The 24,407-nt window shown below is 45.6% G+C and overlaps 1 protein-coding gene and 1 long non-coding RNA gene across 25 annotated transcripts in view, besides 5 other annotated features; both read left to right on the forward strand.

Moving 5' to 3' along the window:
* The window catches only part of TRAK1 (trafficking kinesin protein 1), a 212,798-nt gene that overhangs the window by 89,255 nt on the left and 99,136 nt on the right, over positions 1-24,407 (forward strand). For all 24 annotated transcript variants that reach the window (NR_146089.1, XM_047447718.1, XM_017005909.2 and 21 more), the window contains one exon: positions 23,073-23,267. Coding sequence is in view for 15 of the 24 variants with exons in the window: in XM_024453400.2 (XP_024309168.1) it covers positions 23,073-23,267 (195 nt within the window). In the remaining 9 variants the exon portion in view is untranslated. The remainder of the gene's footprint in view (positions 1-23,072; positions 23,268-24,407) is intronic.
* Positions 1,064-6,995, forward strand: LOC124906231 (uncharacterized). Its single transcript, XR_007095889.1, has 2 exons — positions 1,064-1,536; positions 1,985-6,995. It is a non-coding gene; the product is annotated as an uncharacterized LOC124906231 (long non-coding RNA).
* Positions 16,765-16,854: an enhancer, noted in NCBI's record as "active region_19734". NCBI's record gives its function as "activates an Ori minimal core promoter by ATAC-STARR-seq in GM12878 lymphoblastoid cells {active_cell/tissue: GM12878}" and the evidence as "EXISTENCE:reporter gene assay evidence [ECO:0000049][PMID:35858748]".
* Positions 20,163-20,342: an enhancer, noted in NCBI's record as "active region_19735". NCBI's record gives its function as "activates an Ori minimal core promoter by ATAC-STARR-seq in GM12878 lymphoblastoid cells {active_cell/tissue: GM12878}" and the evidence as "EXISTENCE:reporter gene assay evidence [ECO:0000049][PMID:35858748]".
* Positions 20,423-20,612: an enhancer, noted in NCBI's record as "active region_19736". NCBI's record gives its function as "activates an Ori minimal core promoter by ATAC-STARR-seq in GM12878 lymphoblastoid cells {active_cell/tissue: GM12878}" and the evidence as "EXISTENCE:reporter gene assay evidence [ECO:0000049][PMID:35858748]".
* Positions 20,733-21,002: an enhancer, noted in NCBI's record as "active region_19737". NCBI's record gives its function as "activates an Ori minimal core promoter by ATAC-STARR-seq in GM12878 lymphoblastoid cells {active_cell/tissue: GM12878}" and the evidence as "EXISTENCE:reporter gene assay evidence [ECO:0000049][PMID:35858748]".
* Positions 21,183-21,282: an enhancer, noted in NCBI's record as "active region_19738". NCBI's record gives its function as "activates an Ori minimal core promoter by ATAC-STARR-seq in GM12878 lymphoblastoid cells {active_cell/tissue: GM12878}" and the evidence as "EXISTENCE:reporter gene assay evidence [ECO:0000049][PMID:35858748]".

Consider the following 24,407-nt stretch of genomic DNA (forward strand, 5'->3'; position numbering starts at 1 on the left):
GCTTCTTTTACCTTGGGTTTTCCAAACAGTTGATGTGGAAGGCAATTTAATCTTTCTCATGGATTCAGAGTTATCTTTTGTGATATCTTCTGTTTTCCAGAGATTTGCTGATGTGTTAAGGGTATGGTACTGATGCTGGATGTTTTGCTCATTAGCCCAGCAAGGTCAAGGTTCTTGTCTCATGACCAGGGAGAAGTAGGCACACGGACACTCAGAGAGAGGCGTCCTGAAAGCAGGTTGCTGGTTCTCCCTTCACAGTTGAATACAAGGGCTTCTCTGTCTGCTGATGGGGCTGTGTTCCCTATTTGTATAAGGTGTGAGTTTCTGGCGGCTCTACCCTGACCTTCCAGTGTGCATGCGGGCCCCTAGTCTGAGCCATTCCACATTGATTTATTTCCCTTACTGCGCATGTGTTAAGGGACTGAATTTTTCACTGCTGGCATGTTTAGGCAAGCCTCCTGTGCACAATGACCTTGGCAGCTCGAAAGTTCTCCAGGGACCCTCCCCTGTCTGCCTAGGAAGAGTTCTCTGCTTCCTGCCTCTATCAGTACGTGTGCTCAGCAGGACTTACTTTCACATTTCTTGTGGTTACGTTTTTTCTTGTAACAGCTTCATTGAGATATAATTCATGCTTCATACAGTTCATCCATATAAAGTGTATAATTTAGTGGTTTTTAGTATGTTCGTGGGGTTGTGCAATTATCACCAGTTCAGTTGGTGAATCTGTTCAATTTCAGAACATTTTCATTCACCCCCCGAAAAGCTCCTTTCCCTTTAGCAATCATCCCTCAGTCTCCTCGCATCTCCCACAGTGTGGCTGCATTCTTTTTTTTCTTTTGAGATGAAGTCTCCCTCTGTCCCCCAGGCTGAAGTGCGGTGGCGTGATCTTGGCTCACTGCAATCTCTGCCTCCCAGGTTCAAGAGATTCTCCTGCCTCAGCCTCCTGAGTAGCTGGGATTACAGGCGTGTGCCACCACACTCAGCTAATTTTTGTATTTTTTTTTCTTAGTAGAGACAGGGTTTTGCTGGGTTGGCCAGGCTGGTCTCAAACTGCTGACCTCAAGTGATCTGCTTGCCTCAGTCTCCCAAAGTGCTGGGATTACAGGCATGAGCCACTATGCCTGGCCATGCGTTCTTAATACGCTTTCAAAGATTTCTACTGTCATTGTTCTTGATTCCGACAGGCTTGCCCCTAACCTTGGAGAGCAGTGGTGGGGGATCGTTCTTGAGTGGTCATCGATGCTATTCGAGGGTACACTTAACAGACATTTTATGGCTGGGCTCGTGTCTGTGATCCCAGCACTTTGGGAGGCTGAAGTGGGAGGATCACTTGAGCTCAAGAGTTTGAGACCAGATCCAGGAGGAGTGGTTCCAACATGGCCGAAAAGGAACAGCTCCAGTCTGCAGCTCCCAGCGTGAGTGATGCAGAAGATGGATGATTTCTTCATTTCCAACTGAGGTACTGGGTTCATCTCACTGCGGCTTGTCAGACAGTGGGTGCAGCCCATGGAGCAGGACGGGTCATCACCTCACCCAGTAAGTGCAAGGGGTCGGGGAATTCCCTTTCCTAGCAAAGGGAAGCCATGACAGATGGTACCTGGAAAATTGGGACACTCCCACCCTAATACTGCGCTTTTCCAATGGTCTTAGCAAATAGCACACCAAGAGATTATATCCTGCGCCTGGCTTGGAGGGTCCCACGCCCACGGAACCTCACTCACTGCTAGCACAGCAGTCTGAGATCAAACTGCAAGGCAGCAGGGAGGCTGGGAGAGGGGCGTCCACCATTGCTGAAGCTTGAGTAGGTAGACAAAACAGCCGGGAAGCTCGAACTGGGTGGAGCCCACTGCAGCTCAAGGAGGCCTGCCTGCCTCTGTAGGGAGGCAGGGCATAGCTGAACTTCTGGGGGCACTTCTGGGGGCAGGGCATAGCTGAACAAAAGGCAGCAGAAACTTCTGCAGACTTAAATGTCCCTGTCTGACAGCTTTGAAGAGAATAGCGGTTCTCCCGGCATGGAGTTTGAAATCTGAGAATGGACAGACTGCTTCCTCAAGTGGGTCCCTGACCACCGAGTAGCCTAACTGAGAGGCAGCTCCCAGTAGGGGCCGACTGACACCTCATACAGCTGGGTGCCCCTCGGAGATGAAGCATCCAGAGGAAGGATCAGGCAGCAACGTCTGCCATCCTGCAATATTTGCTATTCTGCAGCCTCCGCTGGTGATACCCGGGCAAACAGGGTCTGGAGTGGACCTCCAGCAAACTCCAACAGACCTGCAGCTGAGGGTCCTGACTGTTAGAAGGAAAACTAACAAACAGAAAGGAATCCACACCAAAACCCCATCTGTACGTCACCATCATCAAAGACCAAAGGTAGATAAAACCACAAAGATGGGGAGAAACCAGAGCAGAAAAGCTGAAAATTCTAAAAATCAGAGCACCTCTTCTCCTCCAAAGGAATGCAGCTCCTCGCCAGCAACGGAACAAAGCTGGACAGAGAATGACTTTGACGAGTTGAGAGAAGAGGGCTTCAGACGATCGGTAATAACAAACTTCTCCAAGCTAAAGGAGGATGTTCAAACCCATTGCAAAGAAGCTAAAAATCTTTTTTTTTTTTTTTTTTTGAGACAGAGTTTCGCTTTTGTTGCCCAGGCTGGAGTGCAATGGCTCGGTCTTGGCTCACCGCAACCTCTGCCTCCTGGCTTCAAGTGAGTCTCCTGCCTCAGCCTCCCAAGTAGCTGGGATTACAGGCATGTGCCACCACACCCAGCTAATTTTTTTGTATTTTTATTAGAGACGGGGTTTCTCCATGTTGGTCAGGCTGGTCTCGAACTCCTGACCTCAGGTGATCCACCCGCCTCGGCCTCCCAAAGTGCTGGGATTACAGGCATGAGCCACCACGCCCAGCAGAAGCTAAAAGTCTTAAAAAAAGATTAGACAAATGGCTAACTAGAATAAATAGTGTAGAGAAGACCTTAAATGACTTGATGGAGCTGAAAACCATGGCACGAGAACTATGTGACGCATGCACAAGCTTCAGTAGCCGATTTGATCAACTGGAAGAAAGGATATCAGTAATTGAAGATTAAGTGAATGAAATGAAGCAAGAAGAGAAGTTTAGGGAAAAAAGAGTAAAAAGAAACGAACAAAGCCTCCAAGAAATATGGGACTATGTGAAAAGACCAAATCTACGTCTGATTGGTGTACCTGAAAGTGATGGGGAGAATGGAACCAAGTTGGGAAACACTCTTCAGGATATTATCCAGGAGAACTTCCCCAACCTAGCGAGGCAGGCCAACATTCAAATTCAGGAAATACAGAGAACGGCACAAAGATACTCCTCAAGAAGAACAACCCCAAGACACATAATTGTCAGATTCACCAAAGTTGAAATGAAGGAAAAAATATTAAGGGAAGCCAGAGAGAAAGGTCGGGTTACCCACAAAGGGAAGCCCATTAGACTAACAGCAGATCTCTCAGCAGAAACTCTACAAGCCAGAAGAAAGTGGGGGCCAATATCCAACATTCTTAAAGAAAAGAATTTTCAACCCAGAATTTCATATCCAGCCAAACTAAGCTTCATAAGTGAAGGAGAAATAAAATCCTCTACAGACAAACAAATGCTGAGAGATTTTGTCACCACCAGGCCTGCCTTACAAGAGCTCCTGAAGGAAGCACTAAACATGGAAAGGAACAACCAGTACCAGCCACTGCAAAAACATGCCAAATTGTAAAGACCATCAATGCTAGGAAGAAACTGCATCAACTAACGAGCAAAATAACCAGCTAACATCATAATGACAGGATCAAATTCACACATAACAATATTAACCTTAAATGTAAATGGCCTAAATGCCCCAATTAAAAGACACAGACTGGCAAATTGGATAAAGAGTCAAGACCCATCAGTGTGCTGTATTCAGGAGACCCATCTCACGTGCAGAGACACACATAGGCTCAAAATAAAAGGATGGAGGAAGATCTACCAAGCAAATGGAAAACAAAACAAAAAAAAAGCAGGGGTTGCAATCCTAGTCTCTGATAAAACAGACTTTAAACCAAAAAAGATCAAAAGAGACAAAGAAGGCCATTACATAATGGTAAAGGGATCAATTCAACAAGAAGAGTTTGAGACCAGCCTGGGCAACATAGTGAGACCTCTTCTTTATTTAAGATAAAAAATAAAAATATAATAATAACAAAATAGACACTTTATGTGCACTGGAGTCTTGTGTATAGTGACTCTATCACCTGAATAATTACTTTTTAAAATTATAATGTTGTATTTATTTATTTGTATTCTGCTTTGTAGGTTGTCCTTTGGAATTTTCCACATTTTGAATTTATGTTTGTGTTTATTGGAAAATTGGTTCAAGTGAATGTGGAATCATTTTACTGTCAGGGTATATTTGTTTTTCTTAACTGCATATTGTCAGACTAATATTTTTTGGATGAGTTTGAAATCTTTTAATATCCAGATGATCTCATTTGATGTTTTGAAAAAGTAACCATTGTTCATTTTTAAACAGAATTTCCTGTTCAGGAAATAATTTAGATTAACAATAAAACAGATGAATGCATTGAATGGTAGAGGCACAGTTGGCATTGTGATTTCATGAGATTTTGTACTATTAATAAAATAAGTTTTCCTAATGTGGCACTTAACTTTTCCAGAATTTACCCCTTGATTGCCAGCTAACTTTGCTTGTCCCCTAGTTAGAGCCACCTTTGAAGGGGAAGACAGGACAGTCAGGACAGGGGGAGGGATGTGGGCCTTGAACTCTGGCAGCTGCTCAGGCTACCTTGAAAGCCTTACAGAGTCTAATCATAAACATTGGGTAGAAATGTTTTTGGACAACAGAAAGCAAGTCTAAGAAATCAATTATTTGGGCTGGGCGCAGTGCCTTATGCCTGTAATCCCAGCACTTTGGGAGGCCAAGGCGGGCGGATCATGAGGTCAGGAGATTGAGATCATCGTGGCCAACATGAGGAAACCCGTCTCTACTAAAATACGAAAATTAGCCTGGCGTGGTGGTGCGTGCCTGTAGTCCCAGTTACTTGGGAGGCTGAGGCAGGGGAATTGCTTGAACCCAGGAGGCGGAGGTTGCAGTGAGCCAAGATTGTGCCACTGCACTCCAGCCTGGTGACAGAGCAAGACTCCGTTTCAAAAAAGAAAAAAAAAAAAAAGAAATTAATTATTTATAAACAAGAAACTTCATCTGAACTCCCAGATTAGAACAGTAAAACCCAAGAGGTTGGAGGGAGATGGGTGAGATTAAGTGCAAAAAGATTATTCTATTTTTGCTGTGGATAATTAGGAAAATACAGGTTAACCTCTTAGCCTGTAACCTCTTGGTCTGTTAACCTCTTTGCCTGTACAGATAGTACCTTTAAAGGTAACTATCTGTATCAGTAAGGATTAAGTTTGGCTGTATAGAACAGTGGCTTCACATTATAGAATTTATTTTTCTCTAAAGTATAAGAAGTTCAGAGGGAGACTGTGCAGTACTGGTGCAGCCCTGCTGTCCCCAGGGTTCCATGCTCTTCCTGTCCTTCAGTTCTACCATACTAGATGTCGTTTCCATCCTTAAGGTCATGTCACATCTAAGAAGGCTGCGGAAGCTCCAGCCATCATGTCTGAATTCCAGGATGTAGGGAAGGCAGCCTTTGAGAAAGGCTCTCACACCAGTGCTTTTATCTCATTGGCCAACACTTAGCCTTGTAGTCTCATTTTGCAGCAGGGGAGGCTAAGAAATGTAGTTTTTCCATGGGGCTCAGAGCTTTGATACTAAGAAGAGTATGGATAGCGGATGGCCACCATGTGTCTACCATGTCTCCTTGACTATAATTAAAAATATGATGCAGGCTGGGGGCAGTGGCTCAAGCCTGTAATCCCAGCACTTTGGGAGGCCAAGTGAAGTGAATCCCTTGAGCTAGGAGTTCAAGACCAGCCTGGGCAACATGGGGAAACCCCATCTTTACTAAAAATACAAAAAATTAGCCAAGTGTGGTGCTGCCTGCCTGTAGTCCTAGCTACTTGGGAAGCTGAGGTGGGAAAATCATCTGAGCCCAGGAAGTTGAGGCTGCAGTGAGCTGTGATCGTACCACTGCACTCCAGCGTGGGTGACAGGAGTGAGACCCTGCCTTTAAAAAAAAAAAAAAAAAAAAAAGATTCAAACATTCAACATTAGCATTCCCTAACCTAACCCACATCATGACCCTGACAAGAAAACAATGGTATTTGCATAGCATGATGGGTAAATGATGGAAGTAGTTCTTAGCTGATGGTCACCCCGGACACTACCTGGCACCCTCCATTCCCAGCACTGCTTGTGGAAGCTCTGTTCTAAATCACTAGGAGAAAAAAGAATCTGGTGGCACATACTCTACAATGCAAAAGACAGCAAAGTGATGAAACCTCCAGAAGTTGAACCACCAAGAGGCATGACAATAGTAAGATGAGTCTTGCCCAATTTGACCATAATGCTCCTGTTTGAAGGCAAAGTCTCAGAATGGGTCAAAAAGTGAAGCTTTATCTATGTGCTTTGCTTAAGAAATTCTCAAAGTATGCAAAAGACTGGAAGTTGGGCTAGGAGAAAATTTAGAGAAAGAAGAGTTATAAGGAGGGATTATTTAATCAGTGAGGTCAGGATCTTTGGGGCCAGGGGCAGGCGTGAGTGGTGGTTAGGATTTTGACCTCCGAGTTCAGGCTCTGTTAGAAAACCGGTTCACTATTTACAGGCTATGTGATGTGGGTCTAGGTATTCAACTTCTCTGTGCTGTAGTGTATTCATTCTTATGTCAAACGGGGATAAATGTTAGGACTCTTAGGAGGATTAAATGAGTTAATGGATGTAAATGCTTATAAGTGCTTATGGTACCACTCCATAAGTGTTTACCATTATTACTGATGTGTTTGTTATCATTATAAGAAAGTGCAACTGGATCCCTGCATAACTCCATCAAACCCAATAAAATCCAGATGGTTCAAAAGGTGATTCAAAGATGTAATGTTGGCTGCTACCCTAGGCACACTGCCTGTGAATTAGCCCTGCTCAGCAAACAGCAGTTAAAATAAAATAGAAAGAAAAGATATAATGTTAAAAATTCAACTGTGAAAGTGCTAGAGGAAAATATTGCTGGATATTTTACTAATCTTGAGATGGGAAAGTCCATCCTAAACATGGTATAAAGGCTAGAACTATAAGGAAAATGACTGATCGCTTTGAGTGTGCAAAATTAAACTTTACACAGGCATTCTTTAACTGTGTATTTGTTCCTGAAAACATTGTGTGTGTTCATGCACACGTATGTTTATTGTGGCACTATTCACAATAGCAAAGACTTGGAACCAACCCAAATGCCCATCAATGATAGACTGGATTAAGAAAATGTGGCACATATACACCATGCAATACTATGCCACCATAGAAAAGGATGAGTTCATGTCCTTTGTAGGGACATGGATGAAGCTGGAAACCATCATTCTCAGCAAACTGTCCCAAGGACAGAAAACCAAACACCGCATTTTCTCACTTACAGGCGGGAATTGAACTGTGAGAACACTTGGACACAGGATGGGGAACATCACACACCGGGGCCTGTCATGGGGTAGGGGTGGCGGGGGGGATGGCATTAGGAGATATACCTAATATAAATGATGAGTTAATGGGTGCAGCACACCAACATGGCACATGTATACATATGTAGCAAACCTGCACGTTGTGCACATGTACCCTAGAACTTAAAGTATATATATATATATATATATATATATATATATATATAAACTTTGTGTGTGTTGCAAAATTGGACACTAAAAATACCAGGAGTAATGCAACTTTGTAACCAGAACACTTATAAAAACTGTCCATGTGGGGATAACTTGAATAGCCCAGACGGGCAGTTCCCGGCTGTGGCTGGAGCCACACAAACAATAGAGGGAAAGGCTGTGGGGTGTGTATGTGTGTGTGTTGAGGGGTGGGGGTTGATGGATCTGGGGCTTCTGCTAAGGTGAGCACAGGAGAAAATACAGCCCCCTGTAAGCTGAGAGCCATGCAAGGCTGAGGTGCTCCTCTCTGGGGATGGAGTCCTACACACAGAGCTTTTTAAGTTCCTATGAAGTAGTCCTGAAAGGGTTCCTCCTGCCTTTGCAGCATAAGAGCTGAAGGGCTTTTTTCCCATTGAGGGTTGTAAACATTCACACTATTCTGACTTCCCTTGCCCAATTCAGCTTCATGTGTTGAATTTTGTTGTCCTGGCTGAGCCCCTTGCCTTTTATAGGTGGGGTGTGAGCTTTGCCATTTGACAACCAAGCTTTTTGTGGCCCAGGAGGGAGTAGAGGAGTAGAAGACAGAAAAGCAAGTCTTGCCTTGTGTATTTTTGTGACCAGGAGAAAGGCATCATTTTGGCAAAAGCCCCAGGTCTCCCACAGGTGTTCAGTGAAGGTCCTGGCCGCTCTGCTCAGTGTTTGTGAGGGTCGATTTTCCCAGCGCAGGGCACTGCAGGTGCTTGTGAAGAACCAGATGGCTGCTCATTCCATCCTGCAGCATTTATTCAGTGTCTGCTCTGGCCCTGAGCAGACCCTGTCTTTGCCCTCTTGGAGCTGTGTAGTCCAATGACAGAGACTGCTGGTAATCAATCACTAAATCAGTGACTACAAATTGTGATGGGTGGAAAATGCCAGGGGCCAAGGGGGTAACTTAGCCCACCTATCTAGGGAGGTGGCCCTGAAGAAGTCAGTCCATCTGGGATCAGAGGGCAAAGGGGTGGTTGGCAGAGAAGGGAAAAGTGTTCCAGACAGAAGGTCCAGAAGGAGTTGTGAACCCAGAAAATCTGAGACGGTGAAAAAAGATTTGACCTAACTGACTCCATCTTGCTCTTAACCTCCAAGCTGTCCTTATTCATTCCTGGACACAGGTAGAACCAACTTTGGGAGGAACTCATAGTTTAGCTTTGAAACAAAGAGGATACCAGTCCTTTTCCCAAAACAAACCTCCTTATTGTCCGTGGACTAGGCTGCCTAAAGCCACAGGATTAGAAGTTATGATAATCCTTTTTTTTTTTTTTGAGACGGAGTCTCACTCTGTCGCCCAGGCTGGAGTGCGGTGGCGCGATCTTGGCTTACTGCAAGCTCCGCCTCCCGGGTTCACAACATTACCCTGTCTCAGCCTCCCGAGTAGCTGGGACTACAGGCGCCCACTACCATGCCCGGCTAATTTTTTGTATGTTTAGTGGAGACGGGGTTTCACTGTGTTAGCCAGGGTGGTCTCGATATCCTGACCTCGTGATCCTCCCACCTAGGCCTCCCAAAGTGCTGGGATAACAGGTGTGAGCCACTGCGCCCAGCCCTAGTTATGGTAATCTTACTAAATTCAAAATGCATCTATTTTGATTAAACCCATATTATTTTCTTATTTATTAAAAATTACACGAAGATCATTCTGTTTTGGGCTGGGTTTATAGTTTTGTAACCCCTATGACAAAATTTGATGCCTTATATAGTATTTTACAGGGATAAGTATGAAATTTGCCAACACTTGTTTTGAAAGATGCTGTGGGCTGACATCTTCTTTTTTTTTTTTTTCAAATCTAGAAAAGAGTTTTCACACTTCCCGAGCTTCTCCCTTTTTCAGGAGACTGGTTTTCAAAGCACTTTTCTGTACCAGGTGTGTGTCTTCTCTGGTCAAAAAGTAGCCCCTACTCCAGAGTGTACTAAGACTCCAAGGAAAGTTTGGGAAGAGGAATTCCATGAACCTAATGGTAATCTAATCCCTTTCCTCAGCTCTTACTTTTTTTTTTTTTTTTTTTTTTTTGAGACGTAGTCTTACTCTGTCGCCCAGGCTGGAGTGCAATGGCGCGATCTCGGCTCATTGCAACCTCCGCCTCCTGGGTTCAAGAGTTCGATACTAGCCTGGCCAACATGGCAAAACCCCGTCTCTACTATAAATACAAAAATTAGCTGGGTCAGCTACTTGGGAGGCTGAGGCACAAGAATCACTTGAACCTGGGAGGTGGAGGTTGCAGTGAGCCGAGATTGCACCACTGCACTCCAGCCTGGGCGACAGAGCGAGACTCCATCTCAAAAAAAAAAGGAAACAATTAAAAAGGTCAGGAGCAGTGGCTCATGCCTGTAATCCCATCACTTTGGGAGGCAAAGGCGAGTAGATCACTGGAGCTCAGGAGTTCGAGACCAGCCTGGACAACATGGCAAAACTGTGTCTCTACTAAAAATACGAAAGTTAGCCGGGCTTGTTCACACGTACCTGTAATCCCAGCTACTTGGGAAGCTGAGGCACGAGAATCTCTTGAGCCTGGGAGATGGAGGTTGCAGTTAGGCCAAGATTATGCCACTGCACTCTAGCCTGGGTGACAGAGTGAGACTCTGTCTCAAAAAAAAAAAAAAAAAAAAACCAACTAATTTTTTGTTTGTTTGTTTGTTTTAAAGAGATGGGGTCTTGCTATCTCCTAGGCTGGAGTGTAGTGGCATGGTCACAGCTCACTGCATCCTCTAACTGCTGTGCTCAAGGGATCCTCTTGTCTCAGCCTCCCCAGTAGCTGGGGCTACAGGTGTGTGCCACCACACTTGGATTTTTAATTTTTTTTTTGTAGAGATGAGGTCTTCCCATCTTGCCCAAGCTGATCTTGAACTCCTAGGCTCAAGTGATCCTCCTGCCTTGACCTCCCAAAGTGCTGGGATTACAGGCATGGGCCAGCGCACTTGGCCTAACAATGTCATTTTAAAAAGTATTATAGGCCAGGGCGCTGTGCTTATGCCTGTGATCCCAGCACTTTGGGAGGCTGAGGTGGGCGGATCAGTTAAGCCCAGTTCAAGGATGTAGTGAGCCATAATTGCATCACTGCACTTCAGCCTAGGTGACAGAATGAGACCCTATCTCTTCAAAACAAAACAAACATAATATTTGCCATTTAACCATTAAAAAAATTAATTTTCTCAAAAGCATTGTTATTCTACTCTACTCTCTACTCTCTACTCTACTCCTACTCCTACGCCTACGCCTACGCCTACCCCTACCCCTACCCCTACCCCTACCTCTACCCCTACCCCTACCCCTACCCTTCTTTTTTGAGGCAGAGAGGCAGAGTTTCACTCTTGTTGCCCAGGCTGGAGCGCAGTGGCATGATCTTGGTCTCTGCCTCCTGGGTTCAAGTGATCCTCCTGCCTCAGCCTCCCAAGTAGCTGGAACTACAGGTGTGTGCCATCACACTCGGCTGATTTTTGTATTTTTTAGTAGAGACGGGGTTTCACTATGTTGGCTAGGCTGGTCTTGAACTCCTGACCTCAGGTGATCCACCGACCTCAGCCTCCCAAAGTTCTGGGATTACAGGCATGAGCCACTGCACCTGGCCAAAAGCACCGTTTTTCTTTTATAGAGACGGGATCTCACTATGTTGCCCAGGCTGGTCTCAAACTCCAGGGCTCAAGTGATCGTCCTGCCTCAGCCTCCCACAGTGTTGGGATTACATACGTGAGCCACTGGGCTGGGCCCATTTAAACATTTTAACGGGTATAGTTCAGTGGCGTTTAGTACATTCAAAATGTGCACCCATAACCGTTTAGTTCCAGAACATTTTCATCACCCCAAAAGGAAACCACCTCCCCATTAGCAGTCGCTCCACATTGTCCCTTTCCCTTAGCCTCTGCCAGCCGCTAATCTGCTTTCTGTCTCTGTGGACTTACCTGTTCTGGACATTTCATATGAATGGAATCATTCAATATGTGGTCTTTTGAGGCCGGCTTCTTTCACTTAGCATAATATTTTCAAGGTTCACCATGTTGCAGCGTATATCAGTACTTCATTGCTTACTGTGGCTGAATAATACTTCAGTATATCTACACATTTTGTTTATCCATTCATCTGCTGATGGGTGTTAGGATTGTTTTTATCTGTGCTACTAAGAACACGGGTGTATAAATATCTGTTTGAGTTCCCACTTTCACTTCTTTTGAAATATAAGCAGTGGCAGGAATTTGCTGAAGTGAAATTGCTGCAACATATGGCAATTGTGTTTGACTTTTTGAGGAACCTGGTTATGCATGTTTTTAACTTTGTCACGTGTACCGTAAACATGCTTATGAATTTTACACTTCAGATTGTTTTTATTCCTTTCTTAGATTTAATCCCAGGTGCAATTACTGGTTTAAGGATCATGGACACATTTTTGGTTCTCTAAACATACTGTCAAACTGTTTACTGCAAGTGTTGTTCCAATTTACACCAGCTCCATCTGTCTAAACACTAGTTCAGTTGTGAGCACTTTAATTACATTCATACAGCACTGGATATTTTCATGTAAAATAATCTTCCCTTGGTTATTTGATAATTGTAGCATGTAACATACTTAATTTTTTTTTCTTTTTTTTTGAGACAGAGTCTCCCTCTGTTGCCCAGGCTGGAGTGCAATCGTGCGATCTCAGCTCACTGCAACCTCTGCCTCCTGGGTTCAAGCGATTTTCATACCTCAGCCTCCCAAGTAGCTGGGATTACTGGCGTGCACCACCACGTCTGGCTAATTTTTGTATTTTTTGTAAAGATGGGGTTTTGCTGTGTTGGCCAGGCTGATCTCGAACTCCTAGCCTCTAGTGATCTGCCCGCCTCCGCTTACCAAAGTGCTAGGATTACAGGCGTGAGCCACTGTGCCCAGCCAACATATGCTTTTAAGAGAAGTTACCAAGACTATTGGAAATCAAAAGTATTTTATCTTTTTATTTCCTAGCAAAACAAATTCAAATCGACAGTAATAGTCTATTTTTTGAGTATTCTCCTGGAGATTTAACTCTGGGCTGAACTTATACACGTTAACTTTCACGTTTAAAATAAATTTGTGTACAATTTTTGCTTTGTGTTTTAATATTAGAATCAATCTAACACTAATAACCTGTACTGTAATTATCGCCTGTTTTTTTTTAGTTGTGACATTTTGGGGCCTCCGTAACAGGATCCTTCCTCCCTTTCCTTTGCCCTGCCCTTCTTGTCCTTTCTTGTTGAGCAACAAACTGGCATGCCCAAGTGGAATGCGCCACATTCAGTTGCCCTTTAGCCTCACGTCGGACACCCTGTTTCCAAACACGGCTGAGTCGGCTGGATTGGCTGTCTCTGTGCGACTGCTTCTTTGGGGGTATGTGTCACCGGGGCTGGTGCATGTATGTGTGAGTAGATGGTAACTCGGTACGTGACACCAGGCTATGTGGAACTCAACTGTGTAATTTTGTGTCCGTTTTCTTAGAAAGCGTTTCTTCTGTTGGTAATTAAGGCCATGGAATTCTAGAGAACTCCCCAGTGTTGGTTTTCGTTCCTGTCTCTGAAGCATAGTTAGTCTTTCCTTTCCCATCCTATGAGGGTTTCTCTGCTTGTCCTTCTCTCTTCTGGAGATCCCCTTTGCTGTTCACAGCAAGTGAGCTGTCCCTCAGTGGGGAGAGAGGCAGAAAAGGAAGACTTGGACCTATCCCTTGTCCCTTTGTGGCTGGGGTGTGAGCCAGGGTGGAGTCGGAGGTCTTGCTTCCATTTCTGCCACTGCTTAGCCTTGAGACTTCCCCCATGTCTCTGAACCTTGCAGGGCCACAGTTTCCCCTTCTGTCTTTTAGATCTGGGTCTCCTCATTTATGAAATGTGTTCCCAATCCTCATCCTGCACTGCCTGCTGGCTTGTGAGAGTAAATGAAAGGCAGTAATAGATACAAGTGCTTTGCGTTGTTCAGCAAACATTTATTGAACACTTACTAGTTACCAGGCAGGGTTCCGGGTGCTGGGCAAACAGCGGAAAGCGAATCAGCATCTGGAGGTGCTGTCGCTACATCCCGAGGCCTCTTGCATGGTGGGACCTGCCGCAGGCCAAGCACCCATCTCGAGTCTGCTGCTGGTTTGCTCTGTGACATTTGGCCACCTCCTCAGCTTGAACACAGTGTCCTTTTCCATTCAATGAGGAGGTTGCGCCAGTAGTTTTTAGCTCTAATGTCCTCTTTGTAATTTGTGGAATCACAACTTTTGTGGTATGGAAAGTAATTACTAAGACTGAATCTCTGAAGATGTTCAGCTAAAGCTGTAAACTGCATAGTCCCTTGATAGAGAGGAATTTTCTAGAAGGTTGTCTGTCAGATACCACTTACAAAGTATCACATACATCTCCAGCACCAGTGTGGCCTATGTATGAGTCTTTATTCCTGCCCTTTAATCCTTATAATTTTAAGAAAATGGAATTGTTTCCAAGTCTGTACAGAATGGTTTCCAAGTGGCTGAGTAGGTGAGGAGTGTTGTCTTGTGAAGTCATTAAAACATTGCTGTGGGTTTGCAGTCACTGCCATGGGTAATGTGTCATGAGAGAGGGTTATTGCCTCTAGCCAGAGCGCCTGCCTCCCCAAGCATAGCCAGGGGTCATGCTCTGCACCCACCTCTCTGATGGCCAAGTGGAAAGTTGGTGGGTAAAGAAATGGAGTGGGAGAGGGACAGGGAGGAAAAAAATAAAAAAGATGGACCTCTGTATGGTGGCCACTATTTGATGAGCGAAGGTCCCTTTTCTTGTTCTTTGTCACCTTTAATGTGGTCTGTAGCATTCTCTGAAGTCCCAGAGTGTGGCGCCAGGATGGAAGTCCCAGTGTGCAGACTGGAGGCATGCATGTTTAATCTGGCCCTCAGTATTCAACATTTAGAAATCAGGGACTCTCATAAAAATACAGATCCCTGGTCTCTTGGGTGGAGTCAGCATGTCAAGGACTGGGGGCGTCACCGGGAAGTGCTGTGAGTGGCGGCTGCCCCCCAGACACAGCCCTCAGAATGTGCAACTCTTGCTCTCACCGCTCAGAGAAATTTAGGGTATGAAGAAAGCTTTTCTGCAGCCACTTACCTTTGTTCTACAGAGGAAGAAACTGAGTCCCAGGCATATGAACATGTGATTTGCCAGAGTGATAGGACGAAGTTGAGGGGGCAGAACCGAGGCTGGGCGTCCTTTCTCCAAACTCTTGAAACTGTGCTCCTGGCCGGCACCCAGGGCCTCTCGGCTTCCAGCAGGTGGCAGTTGTGGTGCTGGTTTCCTGCCATTGCCTCTTTCTGGCATTCCTTTCCTCCCTCTCCTGTTCTTCTCTCCTCCTTTGCTTTTGCTTGAGCTTTCTCTCACTAGGTTTTTCCTCTTTCTCTCTCCTGTCTTTTATTCTTCCCTCTCCCCTTGCTGTTTTCTCAGATCTCCTGCCAACTGGGTGAGTGTCTAGGGCTACTTTCCTTCTAGACAGCTCTTCTGCACACTCTGCTCACCTTGCAGCTACTCAGGTCCCTGTTCTCCTGGGCTTAGAGCCCTCAAGCTCCAGCGTGCAGGCACGAGGCCCAGAAACCCTGTTGGAATGATCGCACTCCCTCTCTGGAGGTGGCCACCACTCAGAGCATTTAACTCCTCTGTGGAGGAGGAGGTCCCTTGATCCTAGATAGGCTGACTTCTTCTGAGAGTCCACATATCTGTATTTCTTCTTTTCTTTTTTTTTTTTGAGACTGAGTCTAGCTCTGTCATCAGGCTGGAATGCAGTGGCCTGATCTCGGCTCACTGCCCAACCTCTGCCTCCTGGGTTTAAGCGATTCTCCCGCCTCAGCCTCCCGAGTAGCTGGGATTACAGGCACGTGCTGCCACGCCCAGATAATTTTTGTATTTTTAGTAGAGACGGGGTTTCACCATGTTGGCCAAGATGGTCTCGATGTCCTGACCTTGTGATCCGCCCACCTTGGCCTCCCAAAGTGCTGTATTTTTATTGTTTTTAGAGGGAGTTTCACTCTGTCGCCCAGGCTGGAGTGCAGTGCTGCGATCTTGGCTCACTGCAACCTCCACCTCCCGGGTTCAAGCAGTTCTTCCTGCTTCAGCCTCCCAAGTAGCTGGGATTATAGGCGTCCACCATCACGCCCATCTAATTTTTTTTTTTTGTATTTTTAGTAGAAACGGAGTTTCACCATGTTGGCCAGGCTGGTTTTGAACTCCTGACCTCAAGTGATCTGCCCGCCTCGGCCTCCCAAAGTGCTGGGATTATAGGTGTGAGCCACTGCGCCCCGCTGAGATCTGTATTTACATGAGGTTCTCTGAGTGTTAAATGTTGGACACTAATTTAGAGCTATTGCCTTTGCTGTAAAATGTAAGCATTGCCTCAGGCACCTGGCAGGTTTTGTGAAGCTGGCATGTCACCTGAGAATCAGTGCAAATCCCTAGACGGAGGAGTCTCCTCCTAGCCGCTCTCTGCAGGTGAGGATCTAGCCCCAGTCAGGTGGAGAATGGACACAGCTGCTTCTGCAGCTCTGCACCTTCCAGGTGCCAAGCAGGCTCCAGCACACTTTCTTCACTCCCTGGTGGCCCTAACTGAAGCCCACATCCTGGGTAGGAGGGTCCATTCCAAATCTTACGCCTTGGGAAAAACCTAGGAAGGGTTATACCTCTGAAGAGGTAAAGAGTCCTTTTAGGTTATTTTACTTTCAAAGTGATGTCATAAGAATGGTAGGTATTGGATTGACATCTGCTGAGCAATTGAGGGGACATTTACCATCCCATGGGACTTTCCTCTATGCTGGATAAAGACCTAGGGTGATACTGAGGTGGGTTTGAAAAGACCTTGACACTAGATGGCTCCACCTGCCTCATGTTGCAGGCTGGGCATGTGTCTGTCCTGGACAGGCAGGGGATTCACAGACTAGTCCTGCCACCGGCTGCTGCTCTCTCCTTCCCTTGTTCCATCACTCTTCTCACACTTACTGTTGCCTGGCAAAGTAGTAAGGGCTGGGCTGAAGGTAAGGTGGATAATTCAAAGCCTTTTCTCTTGAGGGGCTCACAATTAGTAGGGAAGAGCCACAGAGAATACACTTCTAACATCGTAGTGAAGTCATTTATGTACTGAGAACTGTGGAAGCCAGAGAAGAGAGGTTAAGGGAGGCTTTGCAATAGAGAGTGACATTTGAATGATATTTTAAGATGGAGTTTGCTAGGCAGTGAAGGGCATTCTAGGGAGCTAAAACAGCTGGTCTAAAAACTCAGATTTGTGAAAAAAATGTGTTTGGAAAATGGTGAGAAGTTGGTATGCCTTAAGTGAAGGGAAATTGGAGAAAATAGCAGAGGCTGGGCTTGATAAGAAAGGCTGTTAGGGTGTTGAGTTAGCTGCTTTAACAGAGACCAAAGTAATTGGAACTGTAGCCTCAATAAGGTAGTTGTTTATTTCTTTTACTTTTAAAAGTTCAAGTGGAAGGAGGTCCAGGGTGTTTCAGGCAGCTGAGGTAGCTCTGGTCATTTCCTGGGCATTGCCTTTACTAATTTAGCTAAGCATGGCTCCAGCACCAGGCCAACTCTGCAACTGGACAGACGGAAAGGGCATGACTTGGAAGTTCTGTTACATCCTGTTAACCAGGCATGTGGATACACCTTACTGCAGGGAAAGCTGGGAAACACAGTTTTTAGCTGGTTGGCCGTGGGCCCAGCCACATCTTGGGGGTTGCATGACCAAAAGGAAGAAGTGGCAATTGCATACTGGGAAACACTCAGTAGCCTCTCCTGTAGAAACGTAGAGGCAGAATGATGAAGCACTTTATAGGGAGCTGGGAGGTTTTTAAAGAGCAATAGTATGATTTAAAAAGCTCTTTGAGAGAATGAGATGGGAGGGTCATTTGAGGTCAGGAGTTCGAGACTAGCCTGGTCACCACAGTGAGATTCCATCTCTATTTAAAACAAAAAATAAAAAAATAAATAAATAAAAAGCTCTTTTCCAGAAATGGCACCAGCCACAATGTGGCCGGCCACCATGGGGCATTACAGTAACTGGGCAAGGAGGCGATGCCGAGGGGTAAGCCTCTCCTTATGGTTGAGCCTGGCCTTTTGATGGTTTGACAGGCTGGGGGTTGGTGGGATTTTGGGCTGTTGTTATTGCATATCTACCTGAAGCCATGGACCTTTGGGCTTTGGGATTGGTCAGGAAATTGATGCCCTTCATTTGTGACTTATTTGAGAACACATTTTGACTTGTTTACATTAGCTTGTTACTAATGTGAATTGTAACTGTGGGGAAATGGTGACCACAGAGAGCATAAAGGGTTCCTTTCCTCCATGGTGGGCCGGCAGTGTCCATTCACAGCAGGAGCTTGAATAAGCTCCTGTCCTGTGCAGGTTCCTGACCCTCCGTGGTTCTGCAGACAAGTTAGTAAATTCTTGCCTCTGCTTCCTGTGCTTTTTTTTGTTTTGTTTTGTTTGAGATGGAGTCTCGCTCTGTCACCAGGCTGGAGTGCAGTGGTGTGATCTCAGCTCACTGCAACCTGACCTCCGCCTCCCAGGTTCAAGTGATTCTCCTGCCTTAGCCTCCCAAGTAGCTGGGTTTACAGGCGCATGCCACCACACCCACCTAATTTTTGTATTTTTAGTACAGACGGGGTTTCAACAAGTTGGCCAGGGTGGTCTCGATCTCTTGACCTCGTGTTCCGCCCACCTCAGCCTCCCAAAGTGCTGGGATTATAGGCGTGAGCCACCGCGCCCGGCTACTGCTTCCTGTGCTTTAAAGGGGAAAATTATTCCAACACCTCCCTAATTTGTGATTATGTTTCATTTTACATGCCTACCACAAGTATGAAGTCTTCCACCTGTTTAGAACAAAAACTTCCTGATGATGACATCCTGGGAATTCCCCAGCATTTCAAGTGCACCCTCCTAGGAGCTGGGTAGCAGGTGTTGGAGGGGAGATCACAGCTTTTAGTGGAACAGCTGAGGCTGCTCCTACCTGATCTGCTGCTTAGTTAGCTGAATCAACTTGACCAACAAGATGTGCCGCAGCCCTCGTGCATCCCAGCTTACTGATCTGTAATAACAGGCAAATCTCTGTGTGCCACATTGCTGGGACGGTGAGACAATGGTCTGGCTTGATGTTTGGCATGGTGAAAGCATTCCTGGGGAATTCTTTTTTTTTTTTTTTTTTGAGACGGAGTCTTGCTGTGTCCCCCAGGCTGGAGTGCAGTGGCGCAGTCTCGGCTCACTGCAAGCTCCGCCTCCGGGGTTCACACCATTCTCCTGCCTCAGCCTCCCTAGTAGCTGGGACTACAGGCGCCCACCACTGCGCCTGGCTAATTTTTTGTATTTTTAGTAGAAACAGGGTTTCACCATGTTAGCCAGGATGGTCTCGATCTCCTGACCTCGTGATCCGCCCGCCTTGGCCTCCCAAAGTGCTGGGATTACAGGCGTGAGCCACTGCGCCTGGCCTCCTGGGGAATTCTTGAAGACTCTTCTGTTACGTTTACCTGATGTCAGGCCTTGGATGTGTCCTCCCCTTGAGGCAAACATGGTGTCTCCTTCCATAGGGGGTCTGTGGGGCTTTTGGCCTTGTGGCCAAGGTTAAGGAGAGCTGCACGGGCCATCTCCATAATCCTATCCCATGTCCTAATTCTTTGGGCCTTTAAAGCATCTGAAAATTTGCTGCTAATGTTTATAAGGCTGGTCATGTCACAGAAAAATCAAATATACAGTTGTTTTTTTTTTAAAAACAGAGTCTCGCTCTGTCGCCCAGGCTGGAGTGCAGTGGCGTGATCTTGGCTTACTGTAACTTCTGCCTCCCGGGTTCAAGTGATTCTCTTGCCTCAGCCTCCTGAGTAGCTGGGATTACCAGCGTGCGCCGCTATGCCTGGCTAATTTTTATACTTTTAGTGGAGACAGGGTTTCACCGTGTTGGCCAGTCAGGTCTCGAATTCCTGACCTCAAGTGATCCACCAGCCTCAGCCTCCCAAAGTGCTGGGATTACAGGTGTGAGCCACTGCGCCTGGGCCAGAGTTTTTTAAAAAGGCATTTTTTCATAGCCTTACCTTTTGATACTTTATCTCACTGGTCATATGCTTTAAGGAAAAAGATATCACATGGGCACAAGGACCCACACTGTAAATAGGTTGACCTTCAGCCCTGGAAACATGGAAGGACGGGTCAAGTCTCAACTTTTGGGCAACTGGAAGCATGCTCATAAGTGAGACATTATTCTGAGATTTCTTAGAAGGGACTTTTTTTTTTTTTTCTGGAGTCTGTTGCCTTCCCCACCACCAAACAGCATTGACACCAGATGATTCCAGCCTGTTGTGTGGGTGTGTCATGCGGGAATGTGTTGGTTCCCTGCCTGTTCTACTAGGGATAGGCTGGCACTGCCTTCTGTGGAGCTGCTGTGGAGACAGTTTGACCAGATCCATGTTTAGCCAAGAGATGCTACCGACTAGGTGTCAGCCCTGTTTAACCCCATGTTCCCTCAGTTACATGGTGGCATTTTGTGGCTGTGAGGTCTTTCCTAGAGATGAACTTCATGGGAACTCACTCTTTGCTTGATAGTGAGAAGAGGAAATGTTGCTTATTGTGGGCCCATCTTGAGCCTTTGGATGGTGGTTTATTGCTAGTGGGAGATGGGAAGAAATGTGAAAAATCTTCTGCCTTGAGGTTGGGCTATTGCTCTGCCTGGGGGAGGACATAGCTTCTGTTCCCAGCAGAGCTTTGCAAAGTGACGGAGCAGGTCTGGTCTTGTTTTTGGCTGGCTGAAATACCAAGTATGCTTGCTGTGACATTTCCCCCATGAGGCAGAGAAGTCCCAGCAGTGAGATAGAGTCCCCCCTCCAGGACTAAAGCTCCAACTAAAATTCTGAATGTCCTCACTTTCTCATTTTTAACCCTTTCCTTGACATTTTGGAAAACCATGCTGACTTCCTGAGTGGAAATGCTCTATGGCAAAGCTTTGCATATTGAATTGAGGGAGAGCAGTTAGTACGGAATGGTAGGAAGCTGCGGGAGGGGTGGGTGCTGACAGGTGTTCTCAGTGGGCTCCTGCCCAAAGGGTGATGAGTCATAACTCTACGTTCTCTTTTCTCACGAATCCGTATTTTTTTCACCTGTTGAATGGCCTTCTTATTTGACACAAAGTCTCTGGCATTGCTCTTCTTCCAGGCAGAGGTGTTCCATGTTCTACCTGAGTGTGTACAGGCCCCACAGTTACTGCCTTTCTGCCTTCCTGCCTTCCTGGCCTTGGCTCAAGCAGGGGGAACAGGGAAGGGACTGGTTCTCCCTGCTGTTCCTGCTTTGGTTCTGCAGTGAATCCCTGGCCCTGGCCCTGCAGTGAATCCCTGGCCCTGGCCCTTCCTGCTTCCTGTGACAGTAGCCTCCCGTGTGGAGCACCCCAGGATCTACTCCCACTGACTGCACCAGTCATTTCCTGTGTGTGTGCAGACATGCACGCATGTGCGAGTGAATGCTCATATGTAAGACTGGGCCTTTCTCCTTTAATTTTATCTTACCGTGTTTAGGAATACCTCATACTTTTGGTTCGTCCTCAGCATCTCCTCTTTATTTTCCCTGCTATTGTGTGGTTTTATTTGTCACAAGTATTTTTTTTTTTTCTCTCCTCTGCCCCTTCTAATATCTTGGAGAGGGATGGAGACTGAAGAGTGAGTTTGGTCCTCCACTTGATCCAGGTTCTTATTTTTGTTTTCTACTTCAAAGCGAGAACTTGGTACTGTGACTTTGATAAGAATTGACTTCAGGCCCAGCAAGATTTCTCATGCCTGTAATCCCAGCACTTTGGGGGGCCAAGGCAGGAGGATTGCGTGAGCCCAGGAGTTCGAGACCCACCTGGGCAACATAGGGACCTTGTCTCTACAAAAAATAAAATTAGCTGGGTTTGATGGTGCACATCAGTGGTCCTGGCTACTCGGGAGGCCAAGGTGGGAGGAATGCTTGAGGATCGGAGGTCAAGGCTGCAGTGAGCCAATATTGTGCCACTGCATTCCAGCCTGGGCAACAGAGTGAGACACTGTCTTAAAAAAAAAAAAAAGAATCAACCTCAGTAATATTCTTATCTTTTGAATAATTTTTCTTTGTTGAAGAGTCATTCCTAGAACAAAATACCAAGTTAACTCTCCTCTCCTGTCTAGTTGTGTGCACCACAGGCACTTGGTTTATTTATGGGTTGACAAAACCACTGCTGTTCCCATGGGCTGTTTCCCATCATAGGGAATGCCTTATGCAAATAGGCTGATACAGTGGATGATGCCAGAATTAGTTGATAGATAATTACCACTCACCCATTAGCACTTATTTAATTCAGTCTCTGTGTTCTGCTTTGATGAGTAAGCACTGGGATAGAGAAGTAGGGTACATATCCTGGTTATGTTTGCCATGTTGTCATGTTTGCATTTTAAAGGCCTGCATTAATGTGCTTTGTGTGAATTGGTTCTCCGTCACAGGCATTAGTATGCACCCCCTGAGCACAGCCTGGGCCAAGAGCTATGGGGTACAGGTGGTGGATCAAGGGTAGCTGTGTATGGAAGTTTGCCCTCTCCCAACAAGATGAATCAGACACTGAAATACCCACAAGACACTTAATAAGTGTAGTAACTGAAGTTCTGACAAAATGGCATGTCAGTATAGAAAGGGTAAGAGAGATTAATTCTGCTTGGTGTGCTCAAAACACCAAGCTATTCCTTAAAGGATGGGCACCTATTGGTGTGATTGCTGGATGCCCCATAAGGATATAAGTGTTTCAAGGGCAGGACCATGACTCTTGTGTTCACCACTGTGTCTCCTTTGCCCGTGGTACTCAGGATTCAAATGGATGGATCGATGGAAGGAAGGAAGTGTGGATGAATGAACAGATGAATGAATAAATTAAATGAAGGCAAAATTCTAGATAGGAGGATAGCTTCAATGGTAAAAGAGTGGCATGAAGAAGTTAGGCATACTGGTGAAATTAATACTGGTTTGGCTGACATGTAGAACGCTTGAAGGAGAATGGCCAGAGAAAGGGTTGGAGGAAAGACTTAACTCAGATGATAAAAGCTCAAAAATTTTGGCTTTTCTTCCTAAATAGTGGACACTAAACAGCAGGAAACATTTGGGTAGGTCTTGGCCGTAAGCATGCACAATTCAAAGTTTTGAGACTAGAATTTAAATTGGAAAAAGACTCCTGATATAGCCTTGTCTAGCTTCTTTGTGCTGTAGATAAATAACCGAAGATACCTGCCGCAGGCTACAAGTTTAGTTAACTAGCAGCAAGGCCATAGCCATTTCTGGGCTCTCATTTCTTGGTTGTCTTGTCTTTAGATGTGTGCAACAGCACCGATCTTCCGGAAGTCGAGATCATTAGCCTGCTGGAGGAGCAGCTGCCCCATTATAAGTTAAGAGCCGACACCATCTACGGTTATGACCACGACGACTGGCTCCATACACCTCTCATTTCTCCAGATGCCAACATTGACCTCACAACCGAGCAAATTGAAGAGACGTTAAAATACTTCCGTAAGTAGTTGTCCATGTGTGTTGTGATGGCAGTATCATGATCAGGTCTTCTTAGCCATGGCCCCAAATAAGATCTTGTACTGGCTACCCTGTGATGTGGCTTGCCACCTCTGGAAAGGTAGTCAAAGAAATGCGGCTGTAGGGGTTAACCGCACAAAAGGTCCCAATTTTAAATGTTCTGAATAGAAATTTTAGAGGAGTGAGGACCAAGTAAGATTTTCATTTGAACCAACTTTTTATGTATTTATTTTTTTGAGATGGAGTCTAGCTCTCTTGCCCAGGCTGGAGTGCAATGGTGTGATCTCGGCTCACTACAACCTCTGCCTCCTGGGTTCAAACGATTCTCCTGCTTCAGCCTCCCGAGTAGCTGGGGCTACAGGCGCGCACCACCATGCCCGGCTAATTTTTGTATTTTTAGTAGAGACAGGGTTTCACCATGTTGGCCAGGCTGACCAACCTGAGCACTCCTGACCTTAAGCCACCCACCCACCTTGGCCTCCGAAAGTGCTGGGATTATAGGTGGGAGCCAACTTTTTTTTTTTTTTGACTGTACAGAAGAATTTGAAAATGTTCCTATTTCTATTTCTTACCAAAAATACAAATCCTTAGAAACTCACTGGGAAGGTGTTTGTCTAAATTTAAAACCAAAGATATTGGGAATATCCAGGCTTCTCATTTATGTGACATAGCAAAATATGTGTACCAAGGCTGATAACTGTTGTGTGAAAGCTCACTAAGCTGGATGTTTGGAGAGTCCAAATATCACTGCAGCAGCAAACCAGTCATTCTGATGGGCTGCAGAGCTGATACCTGGTAGGATAAGCAGTAAACTAGGTGAGTGTTTTCAGTGTGGTCATGATGGCCAGGGTGTGAAACTTGATATTGCAGACTTGAAAAAAAGGATAATTTAAAAAATGAATACTTTATGATTCTGGTATTTATTCAAAATGTGCCTTTTTAGAAGTAATTTCACTCTTTAAAAACTTATGGCAGCCAACAATTTACATATCTGTGTATCACTGTGTCACTTAAAAAAAAGTATAGCAATCCTCCTACCTGCAGATAACTTGGTTCAAAACCAGCTTATGTTGCATCTTTAAAGATTTCTTGTAATTATTTTTACTAATACAGGCTGATCTC

The sequence above is a fragment of the Homo sapiens genome, chromosome 3, assembly GCF_000001405.40.
Source record: "Homo sapiens chromosome 3, GRCh38.p14 Primary Assembly".
NCBI classification, from domain to species: domain Eukaryota; kingdom Metazoa; phylum Chordata; class Mammalia; order Primates; family Hominidae; genus Homo; species Homo sapiens.